Below are 25,655 nucleotides of genomic sequence, written 5' to 3' on the forward strand. Positions count from 1 at the left end.
GGGGACAAGGAGAGAATTGTTTCCTGGGCCAGCTCCATGGCCTGGCTGCTGTGTGCATCCTCAGGACACTGCTGCCTGCATCCCTGCAGATCCGGCTCCAGCCATGGCTGAAAGATGCACAGGTACAGCTTGGGTCACTGCTTCAGAGGTGGCTCCAAGCCTTGATGGCTTCCACATAGTGTTAAGCCAGGAGGTGCACAGAGCAAGAGACTAGAGGCTTGGGAGCCTCTGTCTAGACTCCAGAGGATGTACAGAAAAGCCTGGGTGTCCAGGCAGAAGCCTTTCCAAGAGGCAGAGCCTCATGGGAAACCTTTACTAGGGCAGGAAAGAAGGGATGTATCAGGTTGAAGCCCTCACACAGGGAGGCACCATCCTTCAAACCCCAGATTCATAGACCCACCAACAGCTTGCCCCCTCAATGTGGGAAAGCTACAGACACTCAACACCAGCCCCATCCATGAGGGCAGCTGCGGGGACTGATCACTGCAAACCCACAGGTGGAGATCTGCCCAAAGCCTTTGGAGTCCAGCCCTCACACTCCTGTGCCATGGATGTGGGACAAGGATTCCAAAAGGATGATTTTGGAGCTGTAGGATTGAATGACTGGCCTACTGCGTTTTGGACATTCATGTATCCTGTGAGTCCCATCGGTGTTTTGTTTTTGTTTCTGGCAATTTTTCTTCTGTTGGCTGGGAGTGCTTACCCATTGCCTGTACAATCATTGTACCTTGGAAGTAGTTAACTTGCTTTATAATTCAGAGACTTATGGGCAGAAGGGACTGTATCCTTGTCTCAGATGAAACTTTGGGCTTTACACATCTGAGTAAATGCTGGAATGAGTTAAGATTTGGGGGACTGTAGGAGAGGCATCATTGTATTTTGCAATGTGAGAAAGACAGATTTGCAGGGGCAGGGACAGAAGAATATGATCTGGCTCTGTGTCCCACTGATGTGGAATTGTAATGGGAAATGTTAAAGGTGGGGGACAGGTGGAAGGTGATTTAATCGTGGTGGAGAGTGGAGGTTGGAAGGTGGGGGTGGTGGGGCGAAATGGGGAAAATTGTGGTGGGGTTGGGGGTGAAAGGCGGGTGGGGGGCAGATCCTTCACAAATGGTTAAACACAATCTCCTTAATACTGTCCTTGTGATAGTTCTCTTCATGATTTTGTGGTGGTGAGATTGAATGAATACTGTTCTGCTGGGTTTTGGATGTGCATTGGGCCTCTGGTCCCATTTGTGTTATTTTTCTGGGAAATTTCTTCCCCTTGGATTAAGACAGCTTACCCAATACCTGTGTCATCATTGTACCTTTAAAGAAATGAACTCCATTTTAACTTCAGAGACTCATAGGCATAAGAGACTGTAGCCTTGTCTCGGATGAGACTTTGAACTTTTTATATTTGAGTTAATGCTGGAATGAGTTAAGGATTTTGGAAACTTTTGAAAAGGCATGATTGTATTTTACCCTGTGAGAAGGACATGAGATTTGGAAGGGTCAAGTTCGGAATACTATGGTTTGGCTGTGTTTCCCTAGAAAAACTCTGTGGAAGTGTAATCCTGAATTTTGGAGGTGAAGCCTGGTGGGAGGTGATTTAATCCTGGATGGGAGGAGGGTGGGGGTGTAAGGAAAAAGGGGCGGGGAGGGTGGGGAGGAATAGGCTGGCCATAGGGTGGTGGGTAGTAGGAAGGGGGAGTAGCCTGCTGCAGAGGCAGAGGCTCATGGAAAACCTCTACTAGGACAGTGCACCTGTGGCTTTGCAGGCTTTAGCCCCGTGGCTGCTCTCATGGGCTTGGCTGTTGTTTAGTGCCTGTACCTTTTCCATACTGAGAGTATGAGCTGTTGTTGGGTCTATGAATCTGGGGTCTGGAGGATGGTGGCCTCCTGCATAGGGGCTCCAAGCCCATATTTTCCTTCTGCATATTTCCTTCCAAGCCCATATTTTCCAAGAGGCTCTGCCTCTGCAGCAGGCTTCTGCCTGGAAACAGTGGGGGGTGGAAGTGTGTTGGGGGGTGGATCTTTCACCAATGATTAAGCACCATCTTCTTGATGCTGACCTTGTGATACTGAGTTCTCAAGAGATCTGGTTGTATAACAGTCTGTGACACCTCTTTCCTCTCTCTGTCTTGCTCCTACTCTGGCCATATGCAACATTTTATTGCTGCTTGTCCTTCTGGTATAATTGAGAGGCCTCCTGAGTCCTCCCAGAAACAGAAGTTACTATGCTTTCTTTACAGCCTACTGCAGAACTATAAGCCAATTAAACCCCTTTTTGTTATGATCTTACAGAAAATTACTATGCGAATTGAAGCTATTAAATGTCTTCAATGACTTTTCCCCATCACATTGGCTATTAATACTGGTCTTCCTTTTAATGCAAATATCTGAAGCCTTCTTGAAGTTTGCCCCTGAAAATGGACTTTTTTTCCTTCTACATTGCCAGGTTGTGACAAAGATAGCTGAAAATATAAAAGCAGGTTCAGAAGTGGCTAACAGCCAGAGGTCGGAGAGTTTGGAGGACTTGGAAGAAGACAGGAAGATGAAGGAAAGTTTGGACCATTGTAGAGACTTGTTAAATACTTGTGATTAAAATGCTGACAGAAGGAGGGACAGTGAAGGCCAGGCTTATGAGGTCTCAGATGAAAATGAGGAACTTACTGGGAACAGGAGCCAAGGTTACTTTTGTTTTGCTGTAACAAAGAACGTGGCTGCAGGGTGACCTTGCCCTGGAGATGTGTGAAACTTTAAACTTGAGGTTGATGATTCAGGGCATATCTGGTGGAATGAACATCTAGGCAGCAAATCTCAAGACGTGCCCTCTCTATGTCAAACAGCCTGTGCCCTTATGTGTGACCAAGGAAATGACCTCAAGTTGCAACTTATATTTAAATGACAAGCAGAGCTCAAAAGTTTGTAACATTTGCAGCCTGGCCAAATGGTCAAAACAAAAGCTGATTTTCAGAGGGAAAATTCATGATGGCTTTAAAAATTTGCATGAAATGAAGGCCAGTGCTAATAGCCAACGCAATGGGGGAGAAAGCCTTGGAGGCATTTCAGAGATGTTTGCAGTAGCCCTTTCTGTCACAGGCCCTGGGACCTAGGAGAAAGAATGGTTTCCTGGGCCATCCCCATGGCTCTGCTGCTGTGTGCAGCCTCAGGATACTGCTGCCTGCATCCCTGCAGCTCCAGCTCCAGCCTTGTCTCAAAGACGCACAGGTACAGCTTGGGACACCGCTTCAGAAGGTGCAAGCTATAAGCCTTGGTGGCTTCCACACAGTGTTAAGCCAGTGGGTGCACAGAGCACTAGTTCAGAGGCTTGAGATCCTCCATATATATTTTGGAAGATATATAAAAGTGCTTGGGTGTCCAGACAGAAGGCTGCCAAAAAGGCAGAGCCTCATGGGAAACCTCTACTAGGGCAGTGCAGAAGGAAAATATGGGGTTGGAGCCCCCACACTGGAGGCCACCATCATGAAGACCCCAGATTCATAGACCCACCAAGAGCTTTGCACCCTCCATGGGTTAAGAACCCCAGGCACTCAACACCAGCACAGCCCATGAGGGCAGCTGCACAGGCTGAACACTGCAAAGCCACAGATGAGCTGCCCAAGGCCTTGGGAGCCCAGCCCTCACGCCCTTGTGCCCTGGATGTGGGACAAGGATTAAAAAAGGATGACTTTTGAGCTGTGGGTTTGAATAACTGGCCTGCTGGGTTTTGGACTTTTCATGGAGCCTGTAAGTCCCATTTGTGTTTTGTTCTCTCAGGCAAAAATCTTCCTTTTGGCTGGGAAATCTTAATGCCTGGACAATCATTGTACCTTGGAAGTAGTTAACTTGTTTGTATTTCAGAGGCTCAGGGGCAGAAGAGACTGCCTTGTCTCAGATGAGACTTTGGGCTTTGGACATTTGAGTAAATGCTGGAATGAGTTAAGACCTTGTGGGATTGTAGGTAAGGCATCATTGTATTTTGCAAAGTGAGAAGTACATGAGATTGGGGGAGGCAGGGACACAATAAGATTTGGCTGTGTGTCCCTACAGAAACTCATTTGGAATTGTAATTGGAAATGCTAAAAGTGGGGCCAGGTGGAAGGTGATTTAATCATGGAGGGCAGTGGGGGTTGGAAGGTGGGGATTGGGGAGGATGGGGGGATTATGGTGGGGGTGAGGGGTGAAAGGTGGGTGTTGGGGAGGATCCCTCACAAATGGTTAAACACCGTCTCCTTAATGCTTTCCTCATGATGGTGAGTTCTCGTGATGATTCTGGAGCTGTAAGATTGAATAGATACTGTCCTGCTTGGTTTTGGACTTGTACTGGGCCTGTGATCCCATTTGTGTTACTTTCCTGACAAATATCTTGCCTTTGGATTGAGAAAATTTACCCAATGCCTGTACCATCATCGTACCTTGAAAAAAAGAACTCCCTTTTAAATTCAGGGACTCATAGGCAAAAGGGACTGTAGACTTTTCTCAGATGAGATGTTGAACCTTTTACATTTGTGTTAATGCTGGAATGAGTTAAGGCTTTTGGCAACTTTTGAAAAGGCAAGATTGTATTTTACTCGCTGAGAAGGATATGATATTCGGGGGATCAGGGTCAGAATAATATGGTTTGGCTGTGTGTCTCTACCAAAACACATGGGAAATTGTAATTCCAAATGTTGCAGGTATGGCCTGGTGGGAGGTGATTTATTCCTGTACTTGAGAGGGGTGGAGTTGGAAGTAAACAGAAGTGGGTAAGGTCAGAGGAGTAGGTTGGCTGTAGGGTGGTGTGAGGGTGGTGGGTAGTAGGAAGTGGGAGTAGCCTGCTACAGAGGCAGAGGCTCATGGAAAACCTCTACTAGGGCAGTGCACCTGTGGCTTTGCAGGCTTTAGCCCCCATGGCTGCTCTCATGGACTGGGCTGGTGTTGAGTGCCTGTAGCTTTTCCATACTGAGGGTGGGAGCTTTAGGTGGGTCTATGACTCTAGGGTCTGGAGGATGGTGGTATCCTGCGTGGGGGCTCCAAACCCATATTTTCCTTCTGCACTGCCCTAGTAGAGATTTTCCAAGAGGCTCTGCCTCTGCCTCAGACTTCTGCTTGGAAACACTGGGGGGTGGATGTGGGGTATTGGGTGGATCCTTCACCAATAGTTAAGCACCATCTTCTTGATGCTGATCTCCTGATACTGAGTTCTCTCGAGATCTGGTTGTATAACAGGATGTGGCATCTTTCCTCTGTCTTGCTTCTACTCCTGGAATATGAAACATTTCATTGCTGCTTGGCCTTCTGGTATAAATGGGAGGCTTCCTGAGTCCTCCTAAAAGCAGAAACCACTATGCTTTCATTACAGCCTCCAGAACTGTGAGTCAATTCAACCTCTTTTCTTTATGTACATGCAGAAAATCAATGCTGTGAAGTGAAGCTATGAAATGCCTTCAAGGCCTTTTCCCCAATCTTTTGGCTGTTAGCACTGGGCTTCTTTGATGCTAATATCTGAAGCCTTCTTGAAGTTTTCCCCTGATAATGGACTTTTCTTCTTTTACCACATTGCCAGGCTGTGACAAAGATAGCTGAAAATGTAGAAGCAGGTTCAGAATTCAGTAATGGCCAGAGGTTAGAGCGTTTGGAGAGCTTGGAAGAAGACAGGAAGATGAGGGAAAGTTTGGACCATTGTAATGACTTGTTAGTTGTGATTAAAAGGCTGACAGAAGGATGGACAGTGAAGGCCAGGCTTAGAAGGTCTCAGATGAAAATGAGAAACTTACTGGGAACAGGGGCCAAGGTTTTGTTGTTTTGCCTTAGCAAAGAATTTGGCTGCACAGTGTCCCTGCTCTGGAGATCTGGGAAACTTTGAACTTGAGGGTGAAGATTTAGGGTCTATCTGGTGGAATGAACTTCTAAGCAGCAAAGCTCAAGAGTTGTCCTGCCTACGTCGAACAGCCTGTGGTATTATGTGTGACCAAAGAAATGACCTTGAGTTGAAACTTATATTTAAATGAGAAGCAGAGCTTAATCCTTTGGAAAATTTGCAACCTGGCAAAGTGGTCAAAAAGAAAAGCTGAATTTCAGGGAGAAAATTCCAGAAGCCTTTGGATATTTGCATAAAAAAGGAGCCCAGTGCTAATAATTCAAGACAATGGGAAAAAAGGCCTCGAAGGCATTTCAAAGACCTTTGTAGCAGCCCTTGTTGTCACTGGCCCTGGGGCTTAGGAAAAAAGAATGTTTTTTCTGGGCCAGCCCTATGGCCCCACTGCTATGTGCAGCCTCAGGACACTGCTGCCTGCACCCCTACACCTTCATCTCCAGCTCCAGCCATGGCTGAAAGATGCACAGGTACAGCTTGGGTCACTGCTTCAGGGGTGCAAGCTCCAAGTCTTTGTGGCTTCCACATAGTGTTAAGCCAGCAGGTGCACACAGCACAAAACTAGAGGCTTGGGAGCCTTTGTCTAGACTCCAGAACATGTATGGGAAAGCCTGGGTGTCCAGGCAGAAGCTTTTCCAACAGGCAGAGCCTCATGGTAAACCTCTACTCGGGCATTGCAGAACAAGCATATAGGGTTGGAGCCCCCATACAGGGAGGTGCCATTTTCCAGACCCCAGATTCATAGACCCAGCAACAGCTTGCACTCTTAGTGTTGAAAAGCTGTTGGCACTCAACAGCAGCCCAGCCATTGAGGGCAGCTTTGGGGAAAGACCCTGCCATGCCACAGGTGCTGAGCTGCCCAAAGCCTTGGGAGCCCAGCCATCTCACCACCCTGTGGTCTGGATGTGAGACGTAGTTTCAAAAAAGATTATTTGGAGCTGTAGGATAGAATGAATGGCCTGCTAGGTTTTTGACTTGCATGGAGTCTGTAAGTCCCATCTGTGTTTTGCACTTCTTTCTGGCAAATTTCTTCTTTTTGTCTGGGAATGCTTACCCAATGCCTGGACAAGCATTATACCTTGGAAGTAGTTAACTTGCTTTGTATTTCAGAGGCTCAGGGATAGAAGGGACTGTAGCCTTGTCTCAGATGAGACTTTGGGCTTTGGACATTTGAGTAAATGCTGGGATGAGTTAAGACTTTGTGGGGCTGTAGAGAAGGCATCATTGTATCTTGCAGTGTGAGAAGGACATGAGATTTGGGGGGCCAGGGGCAGAATAATATGATTTGGCTCTGTGCCTCTACCAAAACTCATGTGTAATTGTAATGGGGAATGTTAAAGCTGGGGCTTGGTGGAAGGTGATTTATTCATGGTGGACAGTGGGAGTTGGAAGTGTGGGTGTGAGAAGAATGGGGGTTCATGGTGGGGGTGGTCGTGAAACATGGAGACAGGGGCAGATCCTTCACAAATGGTTAAACACTATCTCCTTAATCCTGTCTGTGTGATAGTGAGTTCTCATGATAAATGAATACTCTCCTGCTGGCTTCTGGGCTTGCATTGGGCCTGTGTCCCAATTGTGTTATTTTTCTGGGAAAATCTTCCCTTTGGATTGAGAAAGCTTACCCATCACTGTAACTTGAAAGTAACTTGAAAGAAAAGAACGCCCATTTCCCTTCAGGGACTCATAGGCAGAAGGGACTGCAGCATTGTCCTGGATGAAGCTTGAACTTATTACATTTGAGTTACTGCTGGAATGAGTTAAGACTTTTGGAAACTTTTCAAAAGGCACGTTTGTATTTTGCTCTGTGAGAAGGACATGAGATTAGGGGGTCTCAGGGTCAGAATAAAATGGTTTGGCTGTGTTTACCTACAAAAACTCATGGGGAATTGTGCTCCCGAATGTTGGAAGTGCAGCCTGGTGGGAGGTGATTGAACCATAAATGGGAGATTGGTGGGGGTGGAAGGAAAAACAAGTGTGTAGGGTCGGGAGGTGTAGGCTGGCAGTAGGGTGGTGGGAGGGTGGTGGGTAGTAGGAAGGGGGAGTAGCCTCCTGCAGAGGCAGAGGCTCATGGAAAACCTCTACTAGGAAGTGCACCTGTGGCTTTGCAGGATTTAGCCCCATGGCTGCTCTCATGGGCTGGCCTGTTCTTGTGTGCCTGTAGCTTTTCCACACTGAGAATGTGAGGTGTTGGTGGGTCTATGAATCTGGGGTCTGGAGGATGGTGGCCTCCTGCATGGGGGCTCCAAGCCCATATTTTCCTTCTGCACTGCCCTCGTAAGGTTTTGCAAGAGGCTCTGCCTCTGCAACAGGCTTCTGCCTGGAAACAGTGGGGGGTGGGGGGGTGGTAGGGGGTGGATCTTTCACCAATGGTTAAACACCATCTTCTTGATGCTGACCTTGTGATACTGAGTTCCAATGAGATCTCATTGTATAACGGTGTGGAACCTTCTCCTCTCTCTGTCTTGCTCCTACTTCTGCCATATAAAATAGCCCATTGCTGCTTGGTCTTCTGGTATGATTGGGAGGCTTCCTGATTCCTCCTAGGAGCAGGAGCCTCTATGATTCCTTTAAAGCCTGCAGAGCCATGAGCCAGTTCAACATCTTTTCTTTATGATCTTACAGAAAATTAGTGCTCTGAAGTGGAGGTATGAAATGCCTTCAAGGTCTTTTCCTTCTTGTCTTGGTAATCAGCTCTCAGCTTCTTTTCATGCAAATATCTGTAGCCTGCATGAATTTTCCCCCCGTAAATGGACTTTTCTTCTTTTACCACACTGACAGGCTGCAACAAAGAGAGCTGAAAATGTAGAAGCAGGTTGAGAATTGTGTAACAGCCAGAGGTTGGAGAGTTTGGAGGACTTGGAAGAAGACAGGAAGATGAGGGAAAGTCTGGACCATTGTAGAGACTTGTTAAATAGTTATAATTAAAAGGGTGACAGAAGGATGGACAGTAAAGGCCAGGCTTAGAAGGTCTCAGATGAAAATGACGAGTTTACTGGGAACAGGAGCCAAGGTTACATTTGTTTTGCTTTAGCAAAGAATGTCACTGCATGATGCCCCTAACCTGGAGATCTGTGAAACTTTGAACTTGAGGGTGATGTTTCGGGTGTATCCAGCAGAATGAACTTTTGGCAGCAAAGCTCAAGAGGTGTCCTGTCTGTGTCCTGGTCTTCTGTGTGACCAAATAAATGACCTCAGTTAGAAACATATTTAAATGAGAAGCAGAGCTTAAAAGTTTGAAAAATTTGCAGCCTGGTCAAGTGGTCAAAAAGAAAAGCTGATTTTCAGTGGGAAAATTCAAGACAGCTTCAGAAGCTTGCATAAAATGGAGCCCAGTGCTAATAGCCAAGACAACAGGGAAAAGGCCTTGAAGGCATTTCAGAGACCTTTGCAGCAGCCCTTGCTGTACAGGCCCTGAAGCCTAGGACAGAAGAATGGTTTTCTAGGACAGAATGGTTTCCTGGCCCAGCCCCATGGTCCCCTGCTGTGTGTAGCCTCAGGACACTGCTGCCTACATCCCTGTAGCTCCTGCTGCAGCCATGGCTGAAAGATGCACAGGTACAGCTTGGGTCACTGCTTCAGGGGTGCAAGCTCCAAGCCTTGGTGGCTTCCACATAGTGTTAAGTCAGCAGGTGCACAGAGCACAAGACTAGAAACTTTGGAGTCTTCATCTTCTAGACTCCAGAGTATGTATGGAAAATCCTGGGTTTCCAGGCGAAGCTTTTCCAACAGACAGAGCCTCATGGTAAACCTCTACAAGGATGGTATAGAAGGAACATATATGGTGGGAGCCCCCACACTGGGAGGCACCATTTTCCAGACCCCAGATTCATAGACCCACCAACAGCTTGCACCCTTAGTGTTAAAAAGCTGCTGGCACTCAACAGCAGCCCAGCCCATGAGGGCAGCTTTGGGGAAAGACCTTGCCATACCACAGGTGCTGAGCTGCCCAAGGCTTTGGGAGACCAGCCATCAAACCACCCTCTGCTCTGGATGTGGGATGTAGATTCAAAAAATATGACATGGAGCTCTATGATGGAATGATTGGCCTGCTGGGTTTTTGACTTGCGTGGGGTCTGTAAGTCCCATCTGTGTTTTGTGCTTCTTTCCGGCAAATTTCTTCCTTTTGGCTGAGAATGCTTACCCAATGGCTGGACAAGCATTGTACCTTGAAAGTAGTTAACTTGCTTTGTATTTCAGAGGCTCAGGGATAGAAGGGACTGCAGCCTTGTCTCAGATGAGACTTTGGGCTTTGGACATTTGAGTAAATGCTGGAATGAGTTAAGACTTTGGGGGACTGTAGAGAAGGCATCACTGTATTTTGCAAAGTGAAAGTAACATGAGATTTGGAAGGCCAGGGGCAGAACAATAGGATTTGTCTCTGTGCCCCAACCAAAACTCATGTAGAATTGTGATGGGGAATGTTAAAAGTGGTGCTTGGTAGATGGTGATTTAATCATGGCGGAGAGTAGGGATTGGAAGTGAGGGTGTGGTAAGTTTGGGGGGTTTATGCTGGGGGTGGGGGTGAAAGATGGGGCTGGGGGGGCAGATCTTTCACAAATGGTTAAACAGTATCTCCTTAATGCTGTCTGTGTGAAAGTGAGTTCTCGTGATGAATGCGTACATACTCTCCTGGCTTTTGGGCTTGCATTGGACCTGTGTCCCAGTTGTGTTATTTTTCTGGAAAATTTCTTCCCATTGGACTGAGAAAGCTTACCCGATGCCTGTACCATCATTATGTCATGAAAGAGAAGCACTCCCTTTTACATTCAGGGACTCAGAAGCAGAAGGGACTGCAGCCTCGTGTTGGATGAGACTTTAATCTTTTTACATTTGAGTTACTGCTGGAATGAGTTAAGACTTTTGGAAACTTCTGAAAAGGCTTGTTTGTATTTTACTCTGTGAGAAGGACATGAGATTCAGGGGTGTCAGGGTCAGAGTAATATGGTTTGGTGGTGTTTTCCTACAAAAGATCATGGGAAATTGTATTCCTGAATGTTGGAGGTGGGGCCTGGTGGGAGCTGATTGAATCATGGATGGGAGGGGGTTGCGGGTAGAAGGAAAAAGAAGTGGGTAGGGTGGGGAGGAGTAGGTTGGCAGTAAACTGTGAGAGGGTGGTGGGTAGTAGGATGTGGGAGTAGCCTCCTGCAGAGGCAGAGCCTCATGGAAAACCTCTACTAGGGCGGTGCACCTGTGGCTTTGCAGGGTTTAGTCCCTTGGTGGCTCTCATGGGCTGGGCTGGTGTTGAGTGCCTGTAGCTTTTTCATACTGAGGGTGCAAGCTGTTGGTGGGTCTATAAATCTGGGGTCTGGAGGATGGTAACCTCCTGTGTGGGGGCTCCAAGCCCATATTTTCCTTCTGCACTGCCCTAGTAGAGGTTTTCCAAGAGGCTCTGGCTCTGCAACAGGCTTCTACCTGGAAACAGTGGTGGGGTGGGGGAGTTGGGGGGGACAGATCTTTCACCAATGATTAAGCATCATCTTCTTGATGCTGATTTTGTCATAGTGAGTTGTCATGAGATCTGGTTGTATAACAGGGTGTGATACCTCTTTCCTCCTTCTGTCTTGCTCCTACTTCTACCATATGAAACATCCCATTGCCACTTGTTCTTCTGGTATGATTGGGAGGCTTCCTGATTCCTCCCAGAAGCAGAGGCCTCTATGATTCCTTTAAAGCCTGCAGAACCATGAGCCAGTTCAACCTCTTTTCTTTATGATCTTACAGAAAATTGGTGCTTGGAAGTGGAGCTATGAAATGCCTTCAAAGCCTTTTTCTTATTGTCTTGGCAATCAGCACTCAGCTTCTCTTCATGCAGATATCGGATCCCTTTGTGAATTTTTCCCCTGAAAATGGACATTTCTTCTTTTTACCGCATTGATAGGCTGCAATAAGGATGGATGAAAATGTAAAAGCAGGATCACAATAGGGTAACAGCCAGAGGTTGGAAAGTTTGGAGGCCTTGGAAGAAGTCAGGAAGATGAAGGGAAGTTTTGACCATTGTAGAGACTCATTAAATTGTTATAATTAAAAGGGTGACAGAAGGATGGACAGTGAAGGCCAGGCTTACAAGGTCTCAGATGAAAATGAGGAATTTACTGAAAAGAGGAGCCAAGGTTACTTTGGTTTTGCCTTAGCAAAGAACGTCGCTGCATGATGCCCCTAACCTGGAGACCTATGAAACTTTGAACTTGAGGGTGATGATTTCGGGTATATCTAAATCATAGGGTGTATCTAAATCATAGGCGTGAACTTCTGGCAGCAAAGCTCAAGAGGTATCCTGTCTGTGTCCAAAAGCCTGTGGTCTTCGGTGTGACCAAATAAATGACCTCAAGTAGAAACATATTTAAACGAGAAGCAGAACTTAAAAGTTTGGAAAATTTGCAGCCTGGCCAAGTGGTCAAAAAGAAAACCTGATTTTCGTGGGAAAATCTAAGAGAGCTTCAGAAATTTGTATAAAATGGAGTCCAGTGCTAATAGCCAAGACAATGGGAAAAAGGCCTTGAAGGCATTTCAGAGACCTTTGCAGCAGCCCTTGCTGTCACAGGCCCTAAGGCCTGAGAGAGAAGAATGTTCTCCTGGGCCAGCTGCAAGGCTCCACTGCTGTGCTCAGCCACAGCACACTGCTGCCTGCATCCCTGCAGCTCCAGCTCCAGCCATGGCTGAAAGATGCACAGGCACAGCTTGGGTCACTGCTTCAGGGGTACAAGATGCAAGCCTTGGTGGCTTCTACATAGTGTTAAGCCAGCAGGTGCACAGAGCAAAAGAGGAGAGCCTTGGGAGCCTTCGTCTAGACCCCAGAGCATGTACAGAAAAACCTGGGTTTCCAGGCAGAAGCTTTTCCAAGAGGCAGACCCTCCATGGGAAAGCTTTTCTAGGGCATTACAGAAGGAACATATAGAGTTGGAACCCCCACACATGGAGGCACCATTCTGCAAACCCAGATTCATAGACCTACCAACAGCTTGCACCCTCAGTGTGGAAAGCTACAAGTGCTCAACACTAGCCCAGCCCATGAGGGCAGCTGTGGGGGAAAGACCCTGCAAAGCCACAGGTGCAGAGCTACCCAAGGCCTTGGGAGCCCAGCCATCACACCCCTGTGTTCTGGATGTGGGATTTGGATTGAAAAGTGATGATTGGAGCTGTACAATGGAATGACTGGCCTGCTGGGTTTTTGACTTGCATCAGATCTGTAAGTCTCATCTGTATTTTGTGCTTCTTTCTGGCAAAGTTTTTTCTTTTGGCTGGGAATTCATACCCAATGCCTGTACAATCATGGTACCTTGAAAGTAATTAACTTACTTTGTATTTCAGAGGCTCAGAGGCAGAAGGGACTGCAGCCTTGTGTCAGATAAGACTTTGGGCTTTGGATATTCAGTAAAGGCTGGAATGACTTAAGATTTTGGGGGACTGTAGAGAAGGCATCATTGTATTTTGCAGTGTGTCAAAGATATGAGATTTGGGGGAACTAGGGTCAGAATAATATGATTTGGTTCTGTGTCCCTACCGATACTCACGTGGAATTGTAATGGGGAATATGAAAGTTGGGACCTGGTGGAAGGTGATTTAATCATGGTGAAGCATGGGTGTTGGAGGTACGGGTGTGGGGAGAATGGTGGAGATTATTTTGGGGGTGGGGTCGAAAGATGAGGATGGGGATGGATCCTTTACAAATGGTTAAACACTATCTCCTTAATGCTGTCTGCATGATAGTGAGTTCTCTTGATGATTATGGAGCTTTAAGATTGAGTGAATACTGTCCTCCTGGGCTTGGACTTGCATTTGTGTTATTTTTCGGGGAAATTTATTCCCTTTGGATTGAGAAATCTTACCCAATGCCTGTACCATCATTGCACCTTGAAAGAAAAGAAATCCCTTTTGAATTCAGGGACTCATAGGCAGAAGAGAAGGTAGCCTTGTCTCAGATGAGACTTTGAAGTTTTTACATTTGGAATGAATTAAGACTTTGGAAAATTTTGACAAGGCATGATTGTATTTTGCTCTGTGAGAAAAACATGAGATTCTGGGGTATCAGGGTCAGAATAATATGGTTTGGCTGTGTGTCCCTGTGAAACTCATGTGGAATTATAATCCCAAATGCTGAAGGTGGGGCCTAGGGGAGGGGATTTAATCATGGATGGGAGGGGGTTGGGGGTGGAAGGAGAAAGGGTGGGTAGGGTGGGGAGGAATGGGTTGGCTGTAGGGTGATGGGAGGGTGGTGGGTAGTAGGAAGGGGGAGTAACCTGCTGCAGAGGCAGTGGTTCATGGAAAACCTCTACTAGGACAGTGCACCTGTGACTTTACAGGGTTTAGCCCCTGTGGCTGCTCTCATGGGGTGGGCCGGTGTTGACTACCCATAGCTTTTTCACACTGAGGGTGTGAGCTGTTGGTGGGTCTATGAATCTGGGGTCTGGAGGTTGGTGGCCATCTGCGTGGGGGCTCCAAGCCCATATTTTCCTTCCACACTTCCCTAGTAGACGTTTTCCAAGAGGATCTGCCTCTACATCAGGCTTCTGCCTGGAAACAGTGGGAGTTGGGGGTGGGGGGCAAATCCTTCACCAATGGTTAAGCACCATCTTTTTGATGCTGACCTTGTGAGTTCTCATGAGATCCGCTTGTATAATAGGGCATGGCACCTCTTTCCTCTCTCTGTCTTGCTCCTACTCCTGCCACGTGAATCATCCCATTGCCCCTTGACATTCTGGTACGATTGGGAGGCTTCCTGAGTCCTCCCAGATTCAGAAGCCAGTATGTTTCCTTACAGCCTGCAGAATCATGAGGTTCTTTATGATCATAGAGAAAATTAGTACTGGGAAGTGGATGTCTTCAAGACCTTTTCCCTATTGTCTTGGCAATCAGCACTCTGCTTCTTTTCATTCAAGTATCTGAGACCTTCTTGAATTTTCTCCCTGAAAATGGACTTGTCTTCCTTTACCACATTGCCAGGCTGCGACAAAGATAGCTGATAATGTAGAAGCAGTTTCAGAAGGGGGTGACAGACAGAGACCAGGAGAGTTTGGAGGGCTTCGAAGACAGGAAAATGAGGAAAAGTTTGGATCTTTGTAAAGAATTGTTAACTACTTGTGATCAGAAGGCTAACAGGAAAATGGTCAGTGAAAACCAGACTTGGAAGGTCTCAGATAATAATGAGGAACTTACTGGGAACAGAAGCCAAGGTTACTTTTGTTTTGCTGTAGCAAAGAACATGGCTGCATGGTGACCCTGCCCTGGAGATCTGTGAAACTTTAAACTTGAAGGTGATGACTTAGTGCATATCTGGTGGAATGAACTTCTAGGAAGCAAAGCTCAAGAGGTGTCTTGTCTGCATCGAACAGCCTGTGCTGTGATGTGTGACTGCGAAAATGACCTCTGGATGGGACTTATATTAAATGAGTCCCAACTCTTACATTAAATGAGAAACAGGACTCAAAAGTTTGGAAAATTTGCAGCCTGGCCAAGTGGTCAAAAAGAAAAGCTGAATTTCAGGGGAAAAATTCAGGAAGGCTTCAGAAACTTGCATGAAAAGGAGCCCAGTGCTAATAGCCAAGACAATAGGGAAAAGCCCTTGACGGCATTTTGGAGACCTTTGCAGCAGCCCTTGCTGTCACAGGCCCTGGGACCTAGGAGAGAAGAATGGTTTCTTGGGCCAGTCCTGTGGCTCCGCTCTATGTGCAGCCTCAGGGCACTGCTGCCTGCGTCCCTGCAGCTCCAGCTCCAGCCATGGCTGAAAATGCACAGATGCAGCTTGGGTCACTGCTTCAGAGGGTGCAAGCTAGAAGCCTTGGTAATTTCCTCATAGTGTTAAGCCACTAGGTGGATGGATCATGAGACTAGAGGCTTGGGAGCCTCTCTGTAGACTTTGGAAGATGTATGGAAATGCCTAGGTGACCAGATAAAAGCATCCCAAAAATGCAGAGCCTCATAAGAAACCTCTACTAGGGCAGTGCAGAAGGAAAATATGGCGTTGGAGCCCCCACACTGGAGGCCACCATCATGCAGACCCCAGATTCATAGACCCACCAACAGCTTGTACCATCAGTCAGGAAAAGCTATAGGCACTCCACACCCGCCCAGCCCATGGGGGCAGCTGTGGGGCATAAACCCTGCAAAGCCACAGGTGCAGGGCTGCCCAAGGCCTTCAGAGCCCAGCCCTCATGTCCCTGTGCCCTGGATGTGGGACAACGTTTCAAAAAGGGTGATTTTGGAACTGTAGGATTGAATGACTGGCCTTCTGGGTTTGGAGTTTCATGGGGCCTGTAAGACCTGTATGTGTTTTGTTCTTTCTGGCAAAATTCTTCCTTTCAGTTGAGAATGCTTACCCATTGCCTGCAGAAGCATTGTACCTTGGAAGTAGTTAACTTGCTTTATAGTTCAGAGGCTCTTGTACCTAAGGGACTGTAGCCTTGTGTCAGATGAGACTTTAAGCTTTGGACATTTGTATAAATGCTGGAATGATACAAGATTTGGGGGACTGTAGGGAAGGCATCATTATATTTTGCAATGTGAGAAGGACATGAGATTTGGGAGCCAGGGACAGAATAATAAAGTTAAAGGTGGGGCCTGGTGGAGGGTGATTTAATCATGGTGGAGAGTGAGGGTTGGAAGGTGGGGGGTAGGGAGAATGAGGGGATTATGGTGGGGGTGAGGGGTGAAAAGTGGTGGTGGGGGGGTGGATCCTTCACAAATGATTAAACACCATCTCCTTATTGCTGTGCTTATGCTAGTGAGTTCTCTTCGTGATTTTGGAGCTGTGAGATTGAATGGATACTGGCCTCCTGGGTTTTGGACTTGCATTGGGCGTGTGGTTCTATTTGTGGTTTTTTCCTGGGAAATTTCTTCCCTTTCAATTGAGAAAGCTTACCCAATGCCTGTACCATCATTGTACCCTGAAAGAAAAGAACATCCTTTTAAATTCAGGGACTCATAGGTGAAAGGGACTGTAGACTTGTCTCAGATGAGATGTTGAAGTTTTTACATTTGAGTTAATGCTGGAATGAGTTAAGACTTTTGGAAACTTTTGACAAGGCATGAATGTATTTTGCTCTGTGAGAAGGACATGAGATTCTGGGGTATCAGGGTCAGAATAATATGGTTTGGCTGTGTTTCTTTTCCAAAACTCCTGTGGAATGTACTCCTTAATGTTGGAGGTGGGGCCTGGTGGGAGGTGATTTAATCATGGCAGGAGGAGGTTGGGGTTGGAAGGAAAAGGGGTGGGTAGTGTGGGAAGTAGGTTGGCAGTAGGGTGGTGGGAGGGTGGTGGGTAGTAGGAAGGGGGAGTAGTCTGCTTCAGAGGCAGAGGCTCATGGGAAACCTCTGCTAGGGCAGTGCACCTGCAGCGTTGCAGGCTTCAGCCCCCATGTCTTCTCTCATGGGCTAGGCTGGTGTGGAGTGCGTATAGCTTTTCCATACTGAGGGTGTGAACTGTTGGTGGGCTTATGAATCTGGGGTCTGGAGGATGGTGACCTCCTGTGTGGGGGCTCCAAGCCCATATTTCCCTTCTGCACCGCCATGGTAGAAGTTTCCCAAGAGTCTCTGCCTCTGCAGGAGGCTTCTGCCTGCAAACAGTGGGCGGTGGTGTGGGTGGTGGTTCCTTCACCAATGGTTAATCTTCTTGATGCTGATCTCCTGATAGTGAGTTCTTATGAGATCTGGTTGTATAACAGGATGTGGCACCTCCTTTCTCTCTCTGTCTTGCTCCTACTTCTGCCATATGAAATATCTCATTGTCGCTTGGCCTTCTGGTATGGTTATGAGGGCCCTGATCAGTGTGGGCCTCATCAGTGGACCTAGTCAGCTGGGACTTGGTCAGTGAGGCCTATTTATTGGGGGCGTGGTCAGCAGGGGTCTACTTAGAGAGGGTCTCATTAGGGGGACCTAGTAGTGGGGTCTTGGTGAGTGGGGACCTAGTGGCAGCCACTTGTTTGGTGTCTGGTCAGTGTAAAAACTAGGCTGCAGGACTTTGTCAATGGAGACCTGGTCAGCTGGGGCTTAGTGGTGGCCTTGTCAGCATGGGCTGGGTCACTGGTGACCAGCTCAAGGGGTGCTATTCAGTGGAGGCCTGGTCACATGGGACCCAGTCAGCAGGGCCTGCTGGCCATGTCCTCACCAGTGAGGCCCTTGTCAGTGGGGCCCTGGTCAGCGCAGCCTGGTCAGTGGAACCTAATCAGTGGGGGCCTGTTCAGAGAGAGCACATTCTGTGGTGGCTCTTGTAGCTCTGGTCTGTGGGGTGACCTGGTCAGCAGGGATCTGAGCAGTGGGTGCCTATTCAGTGGGGCCTACTCACTAGGGTCACAGTCAGGGGCATCTGGTCCCCTACGGCCTGGTTAATAGGGGCCTGATCAGTGGCAGCCTGTTCCCTGGAGGCCTGGTCAGTGGGGCCTCATCTGTGGTGCCAGGCATTGGGGTCACGATCAGTGGAACCTGGTCAGTGAGGCCTAGTCAGTAAGGACCTGGTCAGTGAGGCCCTGGTCAGTAAGGTCCTGGTCAGTGGGGTCCTGGACACTGTGGGCCTAGCAGCAAGGGCCTGGTTAGTGGGGTCTGGTCATGGGGTTCTAATCAGTGAGGGTGTGGTCAGGAAGGACCTGATGTGCGGGATATGGTCAGCAGGGACCTGGTCAGCGGGGGCTGCTGAGCACTGCTGGGAGATGTCAGGTGCAATGCACGTTATCGAGGGCGCTGTGGACAGTCAGGATGGCCCAGTAGTGCCCAAAGGCCCAGTCAAAACTGGACAAAGCAGGTGTTTGGATGGACCTGGGAGATCTTGCTCAGAGATTCTGACAGGACAAAGGTAAAGGAAGGGCCAGAGTGGCCGGATAGATGGTCACAGTCTATGGGCTGCACAGGATGAGGAAGCCAGAGAACAGGCAAGGTGGGCAGCAGGGGTGCAGGGAGAGGCAGGTGCATGCTGGGAGGTCAGACCCTGTGAGGGCTGTGGGGGCGTCAGGTGGGGTGGGCTCCAGGTGCACCCTCAGTGCACTGGGCAGGTCTCAGCCCAGGCTCCCTGGACCCCAGCAGGGTGATGTGGTCACTCTCTGGGGGACTGCTGTCAGGCACCGGGCACCCACCATGGGCAGCACTGTCCCATCTCAGGAATGGACTTTCTCAGATACTGCAGAGGGCACAGCCTCCAGCCCAGGAGGGGCAGCCCCATGGTGCAGCCGGAGCTATCCATTGGCCTGGAGTGTCCCCTGCCAGCCCTGCGCTCCCTCTTCTCCCGGGTCCCGCTTTTCCAGTGTCAGCCAGCAGAGGGGCTCCGTCCTCCCTTCCCTATGTGTCTCCTGGGCTGAAACTTGCAGCGGTTTGGGACAGGGATGGTGCTTCCCTCAGGCCCATTTAGGGAGGGGACTGGCTCCCAGCCTGGCACAGGTCCTCAGCTCTGCCTTGGTTGCCTTAGAGTGAGCAGGATCAGTCAGTGCCCTGAAGGTAGAGCTAAGAGACTGTCCTTGCTGTGTGGGAGGCTGGTCTAGGGATGGAGGACTTAACAGGTCCTCCCAGTCTGTCAGGCCTAGACAGTATTGTCCTGTCTCAGGACTCAGAAAGTCCAGTCCTGAGATGGGACAGTGCTCCCCAGGGTGGGTGGCCAGGGCCTGACAGCAGTCCCCCAGGGAGTGACCACATCACCCAGCCGGGGTCCAGGGAGCCTGGCCTGAGACCTGCCTAGTGCATTGAGGTTGCACCTGGAGCCCACTCCAACTGATGCCCCCACAGCCCTCACAGGGTCTGACCTCCCAGCATGCACCTGCCTCTCCCTGCACCCCAGATGTCCACCCTACCTGTTCCCTGACTTCCTCCATCCTGTCCAGCAGGATGGGCTGGACAGTGGGACAGCCTTTGTGCACATTTTGTGGCAAGTAGGAGTGACACACCATCCCTGGGAGGCACCATGGTTCCTGCCAAACCCAACCCCAGAACTCTGTCCCTGAGGTGGTTTTACCAAAACCCAAAACCCAGAACTATGGTCGTGGCTCAGGGGTCAGCACCTGCTAGTACCAGGACACTACTGGGAGGCTGGGACCTGACTGAAGCCCATGATGTCTGTGGCCTGAGGACAGGGTATGTTGGGGCCATAAGGTCTGGCCACCAATGGCCATTGGGTCCTAGGGCCTCAGTCCCAGTGTTTGCCCTTCCCTGGCTCCTTCTGGTTCAGTCCCATTAGGGCCCTGGAGCCCAAGACCCAGCACCCAAGGTCCCCTCCAGGAATCCTGGCAGCTTGGCTTCCTTTATCATGTTTCATCTGAGAGCAAAAATGTCAGATCGCCCCCCCTCTCCCTCTCCCTCTCCCTCTCCCTCTCCCTCTCCCTCTCCTCCCTCTCCCTCTCCCTCTCCCTCTCCCCATGGTCTCCCTCTCCCTCTCTTTCCACGGTCTCCCTCTGATGCCGAGCCAAAGCTGGACTGTACTGCCGCCATCTCGGCTCACTGCAACCTCCCTGCCTGATTCTCCTGCCTCAGCCTGCCGAGTGCCTGCGATTGCAGGCGCGCGCCGCCACGCCTGACTGGTTTTCCTATTTTTTTGGTGGAGACGGGGTTTCGCTGTGTTGGCCGGGCTGGTCTCCAGCTCCTAACCGCGAGTGATCCACCAGCCTCGGCCTCCCAAGGTGCTGGGATTGCAGACGGAGTCTCGTTCACTCAGTGCTCAATGGTGCCCAGGCTGGAGTGCAGTGGCGTGATCTCGGCTCGCTACAACCTCCACCTCCCAGCCGCCTGCCTTGGCCTCCCAAAGTGCTGAGATTGCAGCCTCTGCCCGGCCGCCACCCCATCTGGGAAGTGAGGAGCGTCTCTGCCTGGCCGCCCATCGTCTGGGATGTGAGGAGCCCCTCTGCCTGGCTGCCCAGTCTGGAAAGTGAGGAGCATCTCTGCCCGGCCGCCATCCCATCTAGGAAGTGAGGAGTGCCTCTACCCGGCCGCCATCCCATCTAGGAAGTGAGGAGCGTCTCTGCCCGGCCGCCCATCGTCTGAGATGTGGGGAGCACCTCTGCCCCACCGCCCCGTCTGGGATGTGAGGAGCGCCTCTGCCCGGCCGTGACCCCATCCGGGAGGTGAGGAGCGTCTCTGCCCGGCCGCCCCGTCTGAGAAGTGAGGAGACCCTCGGCCTGGCAGCCGCCCCGTCTGAGAAGTGAGGAGCGTCACCGCCTGGCAGCCACCTCGTCTGGGAAGTGAGGAGCCCCTCCGCCCGGCAGCCACCCCGTCCGAGAGGGAGGTGGGAGTCAGCCCCCGGCAGGCCAGCCGCCCCATCCGGGAGGGAGTGGGGGGCCAGCCCCCCGCCCGGCCAGCCGCCCCGTCCGGGAGGTGAGGGGCGCCTCTGCCCGGCCGCCCCTACTGGGAAGTGAGGAGCCCCTCTGCCCGGCCACCACCCCGTCTGGGAGGTGTACCCAACAGCTCATTGAGAACGGGCCATGATGACAATGGCGGTTTTGTGGAATAGAAAAGGGGGAAAGGTGTGGAAAAGATTGAGAAATCGGATGGTTGCTGTGTCTGTGTAGAAAGAAGTAGACATGGGAGACTTTTCATTTTGTTCTGTACTAAGAAAAATTCTTCTGCCTTGGGATCCTGTTGATCTATGACCTTACCCCCAACCCTGAGCTCTCTGAAACATGTGCTGTGTCCACTCAGGGTTAAATGGATTAAGGGCGGTGCAAGATGTGCTTTGTTAAACAGATGCTTGAAGGCAGCATGCTCATTAAGAGTCATCACCACTCCCTACTCTTAAGTACCCAGGGACACAAACACTGCGGAAGGCCGCAGGGTCCTCTGCCTAGGAAAACCAGAGACCTTTGTTCACTTGTTTATCTGCTGACCTTCCCTCCACTATTGTCCTATGACCCTGCCAAATCCCCCTCTGCGAGAAACACCCAAGAATGATCAATAAAAAATAAAAAAAAAGTCAGATTGGATGCACAGAAAAATGGCCCAAATTGTTTAATGACTAGAAGAAATATAGGAGCAGCAAGAATGTGATGTGAAGAGGGGAGGGCCTCCATGACCGGTGTCTGCAGAGCCAGGGGTACAGGCACCCAGTGTTGTGGCCTGGCACCACTGGCCTCTCAGAGGGTGGGTAGCACACTGTCCTTACCCGGAGGACAGCAGGCCTGATCACCAGCTTTTCTACCTGTCCCTGTAAGCATCACGTTGCTAGAAGAAAATCTCATGCCAGAGCTTGGACCATCCCTAGCTCAGAGGTTAGGGGTTGTCTCTTGGTGACCTACATGAAAAAATAGGTCCAGATCAGAGTTCCTGATGCAGAGCACTCATCCACTCTTTCAATCGTTGGAGGAGAGGCCTGGTTTTAGGTAAACCTAACCTCTTTGAGGAACCACAGAGCCCAAGACTGGAAACCTTCAGAATCTGCTGGCCCCCAACCCTCCCTGGGGACCCCTGTGGCCTGTCTCACCAGAGCACTCTTCTGTCTGTAGATGTCTCAGCGGCTCTACAAGGGAGTCCCATTTCAGGTGTGGGGCTGGGCATGGTCACTCCTGCTGGATGTCTAGAAGATGGAAACTAAGGACCTAGGAAAATGCCAGATACAGCCTTTCCACCCTCATCCAGAGCAGGACAAACAGGCCAGGTGGTGTCAGGAGCCCAGGTCTCCAGCTGGAGGGAACGTCAACCCTGCAGTGGGAGCAGGGGCCCATCGCACATCCTAGGCACAGATGCTAATGTAGGCACTGCAGGTAAGCTGGGCTTGGTACCCTTCCCTGGCTTCAGAAAGAAGCCAACAAGGAGCGTTTTGCAGAATGAAACCTCTTTTCCATCCAGAAGCACTGCTGACTGTAGGTGGTTGCCGTTTGTGGCAGTGAGCATTTTGTCCATTCTGAGGTTGGATTGGTTTCTTCTTTTGGCCTTGCCCTGCCCTACAGACCATAAAGGAGAACAGCAAGAGGCCCCCAGCAAACATCCACAGATGGCCCTGGACATCAGCCACATTCTGAGAAACATGTCATGTTCTGGGAGGGCTAAGGCATCAAGTTAGGCCTACGGGGCTGGATGATCCCAGGCAACGTGGGGCAATCCAGAGCCATGGGGGCTTTCCATGGGAATTGGGAGGTCCCAAGGCAGAGTCAGAGGTTCCACAGGAGGAGTCACAGAGTCACCAAGGGCTCTCCTGGCCCAGGGAGCAGTCAACACCATGGACTGAACACCTGCTGGGCTCCAAGCCCTGGGCCAGGCTGCCCATGTGGGGCCAGGAGGCAGCTCAGAGTGGGAGGCAGAGAAGTGTGCTCAGAGGGCACCTGTATCTGGATGTAATGTGGTCCTGAGACTGGCTGGGAAGTGCTTCCAGGGTATCATATGTGTTATGCAGTTACTTCCTCTCCCCAGCCTTACCCTGTAGGAATTCTAGTGACTATGTTGCCACCATCTTGGAGCTCCATGCCCTCATAGTGTAATGGCACCAGCAGATCTGCCTGTGCATGGACTTCCTGTACTACCTCACTCCTGAGGGGAGATGTTTCTGCAGGGCCTATGACCTGGTGCACAACTTTAGACACCATCATCCTGGAGCAGCACTGCACCCTCACTAGCCAGAGTGTTGACATCCTCAAGGCCAGGGCCACATTCAAGACTTTGGACTTCATTGATGCACTTGTGCTGAGCAAGGTGGGCATCTCTGGTATCTTAATTCAGGAGGCAGAATACAGCTTGAGATCAGGTGTCTGATCAAAGAACTTGAACTTGATCTGGAGGGCTCTGGGGAGCCATGGAAGGTTCTGGATAAAGGAGGGTCAGTCAGCCACGTTTTAGAAATGACTGTGGAAGTCTTCCTGGAAGGAGTGAACAAGAGCCAGGAGACCAGGGAGGGAGCTTGTGGGGCAGGTCTGGAGATGGCAAGGGAGGGATCCTGCTTGGATGAAAAGTCTTCAGGGACCATCTCAGGTTACACTCAGGTGCCCTCTGAGTTAGTGTGTTCTAAGTAAGGGGTTTTAAGCCTCCTATTGTGGCTTATCCCTGACAGTGTCAGCACCAGCTCCCCTAACCCCACAGCTCAGGGTCCACTTTGCTTCTGTATCCTGCATGTTCCCCTTTCCTGCTGAAAAGCAGATTCCCCAATGAGCAGCAGAATCCTGTTTCTCCCTGCAGGCCCCTCTGCTCCATATGAGTGGTGTTTTGTGGGATTCCTCCCTTGGTTTTGGATGAGAACACCCTTTCCCGTTCCACAGGGATTGTTTCTGTGGACCTTACCCCAGGTTTTCCCCTGGTCGGGCACCGGGCAGGTGGGGGTGGTGGGACCAACTCTTTAGAACCAGCAATGTCAAACAGATCCCACTCAGGGGAAGTTCATGCTAAGTGTCATGGGTCCTATGGAATTTTCTGAAGCTTTCCTTTTCTCCCCCACCTTCAACCAGCTTATCTGATCTCCTGGGATCTCTACTAGGATGCTGGCAGCCCAGCCAGCTGGTCTGGCCCTGGACGTGCCTTCAGGTGCTGGTTATGCTTTATGACCTGTGTTGTGGTGAGTGATAAGCAGCACCTGCTTCTAGCTTCACTTTTGGGCCAGATTTCATCCCCACCGTGGTTCTTCATTGCAGCTGCTTTCTGCTCCCTCTATGGACCCTGCATGGAATTGCCCCATGTTTCTGTTTGGGCACCACTGAGGAAGGAAGCATGAAGGATGCACAGGTCAGGCCATTCTGTTGCCCACCTCGTGCTGGGTCTTTACTCCTGGGATGGCTTCAGGGGCAGCTCCTTTTCCATGCCTCCCCCCACCCCACATCTCTCAGGTTGCTGCTCACAGGTCACCTCTTGGAGGGGTCTCTCCCTGTGACTGTGTTTGGAACAGCTCCCTCAGTTTCTTTCTAGCTCATCTCACTCTGGTAATGTCTTTCATTACCACCACCATCTGACCTAGTCTTATGACCTGTTAGCTTCCTTCATCAGACATGAGCACCAGGATGGCAGGGGCCTCATCTGTCTTGTTCCTCCTGTGGCCTGGGTCCTAGCACCATGTCTGGTACAGTGTAGATGCTCAAGGGAAGTTTACTGTTGAAGAACTGTCTACCTGGGAGAGGTTACTGTTAGTCTAAGCTGCACTATTTGGTAAACCCCTTGATGTTTTGCAGATCCTGGTCAGAGTAAAACATTCCATGGGAACTCGGGCTGTGAGAAACATCCTAACCACCTGACTGCAGAAACATCCTTATCACATCCTGCTGGGCAAGGGCCCAACAGCCTGACTTCAGGAACATCCTTATCATCTTCTACTGAGCAGCAAGCTATACTGTCCAGAGCCCTCCCTCCCAGCCCCATGATTACCCCAGCCTGTAAGTGGCAGTGGGCGCTGACACTAAGCTGGTTTCCCCCTCCGCAGGGTTTTGCTAGTAATAAACCTGTGTTGCTGTTGAAGCGGCCAATCTCTGTGTGTGTGTGTGTGTGTGTGTGTGTGTGTGTGTGTGTGTGTGTGTCTGTGTGTCTGTGTGTGTGTGTGTGTGTCTTTAACTCTTGCCTTGCCTTCAAATCCTTACAATAACTCCACTTCTCCATTTCACCATGGAGGATACGGGACTCAAGGAGAGCAAGTAACTTACCCAGAATTACACAGCCAGTGAGTCACAGAGTCTGAACTTGAACTCAGTTCAGCTGAATCCAGAACTCTCATCTTCCTGAGAGTGCAGGAAAGGAAAGGTGGATATGCAGCTGGTGAGCAGCCCACATGCTTTTTCTAGGAGACCCCAAGGTGGGCTCCTGGGAATTGTGTCTTCATGGTCACAAAAGGACTGCTCACCTGCGCTGTGCATCAGCTAAGTGTCCCCATTGTCCCAAATCTGCATTTCTTTTTATTCTTTTATTTATTTTATTTTGAGATAATGTCTCACTCTGTTCCCCAGGCTGG

The 25,655-nt window shown here is 49.9% G+C and overlaps 1 pseudogene, besides 2 other annotated features; it reads left to right on the forward strand.

The window, feature by feature from the left end:
• CYP4F26P (cytochrome P450 family 4 subfamily F member 26, pseudogene) lies at positions 570-25,168 on the forward strand (annotated as a pseudogene).
• Positions 6,478-7,095: an enhancer, noted in NCBI's record as "H3K4me1 hESC enhancer chr9:33586601-33587218 (GRCh37/hg19 assembly coordinates)". NCBI's record gives its function as "activates a minimal SCP1, AML or CMV promoter by ChIP-STARR-seq in naive H9 embryonic stem cells {active_cell/tissue: H9 hESC(naive)}" and the evidence as "EXISTENCE:reporter gene assay evidence [ECO:0000049][PMID:30033119]".
• Positions 19,889-20,829: an enhancer, noted in NCBI's record as "H3K27ac-H3K4me1 hESC enhancer chr9:33600012-33600952 (GRCh37/hg19 assembly coordinates)". NCBI's record gives its function as "activates a minimal SCP1, AML or CMV promoter by ChIP-STARR-seq in naive H9 embryonic stem cells {active_cell/tissue: H9 hESC(naive)}" and the evidence as "EXISTENCE:reporter gene assay evidence [ECO:0000049][PMID:30033119]".

The sequence above is a fragment of the Homo sapiens genome, chromosome 9 (assembly GCF_000001405.40).
Source record: "Homo sapiens chromosome 9, GRCh38.p14 Primary Assembly".
NCBI lineage: Eukaryota > Metazoa > Chordata > Mammalia > Primates > Hominidae > Homo > Homo sapiens.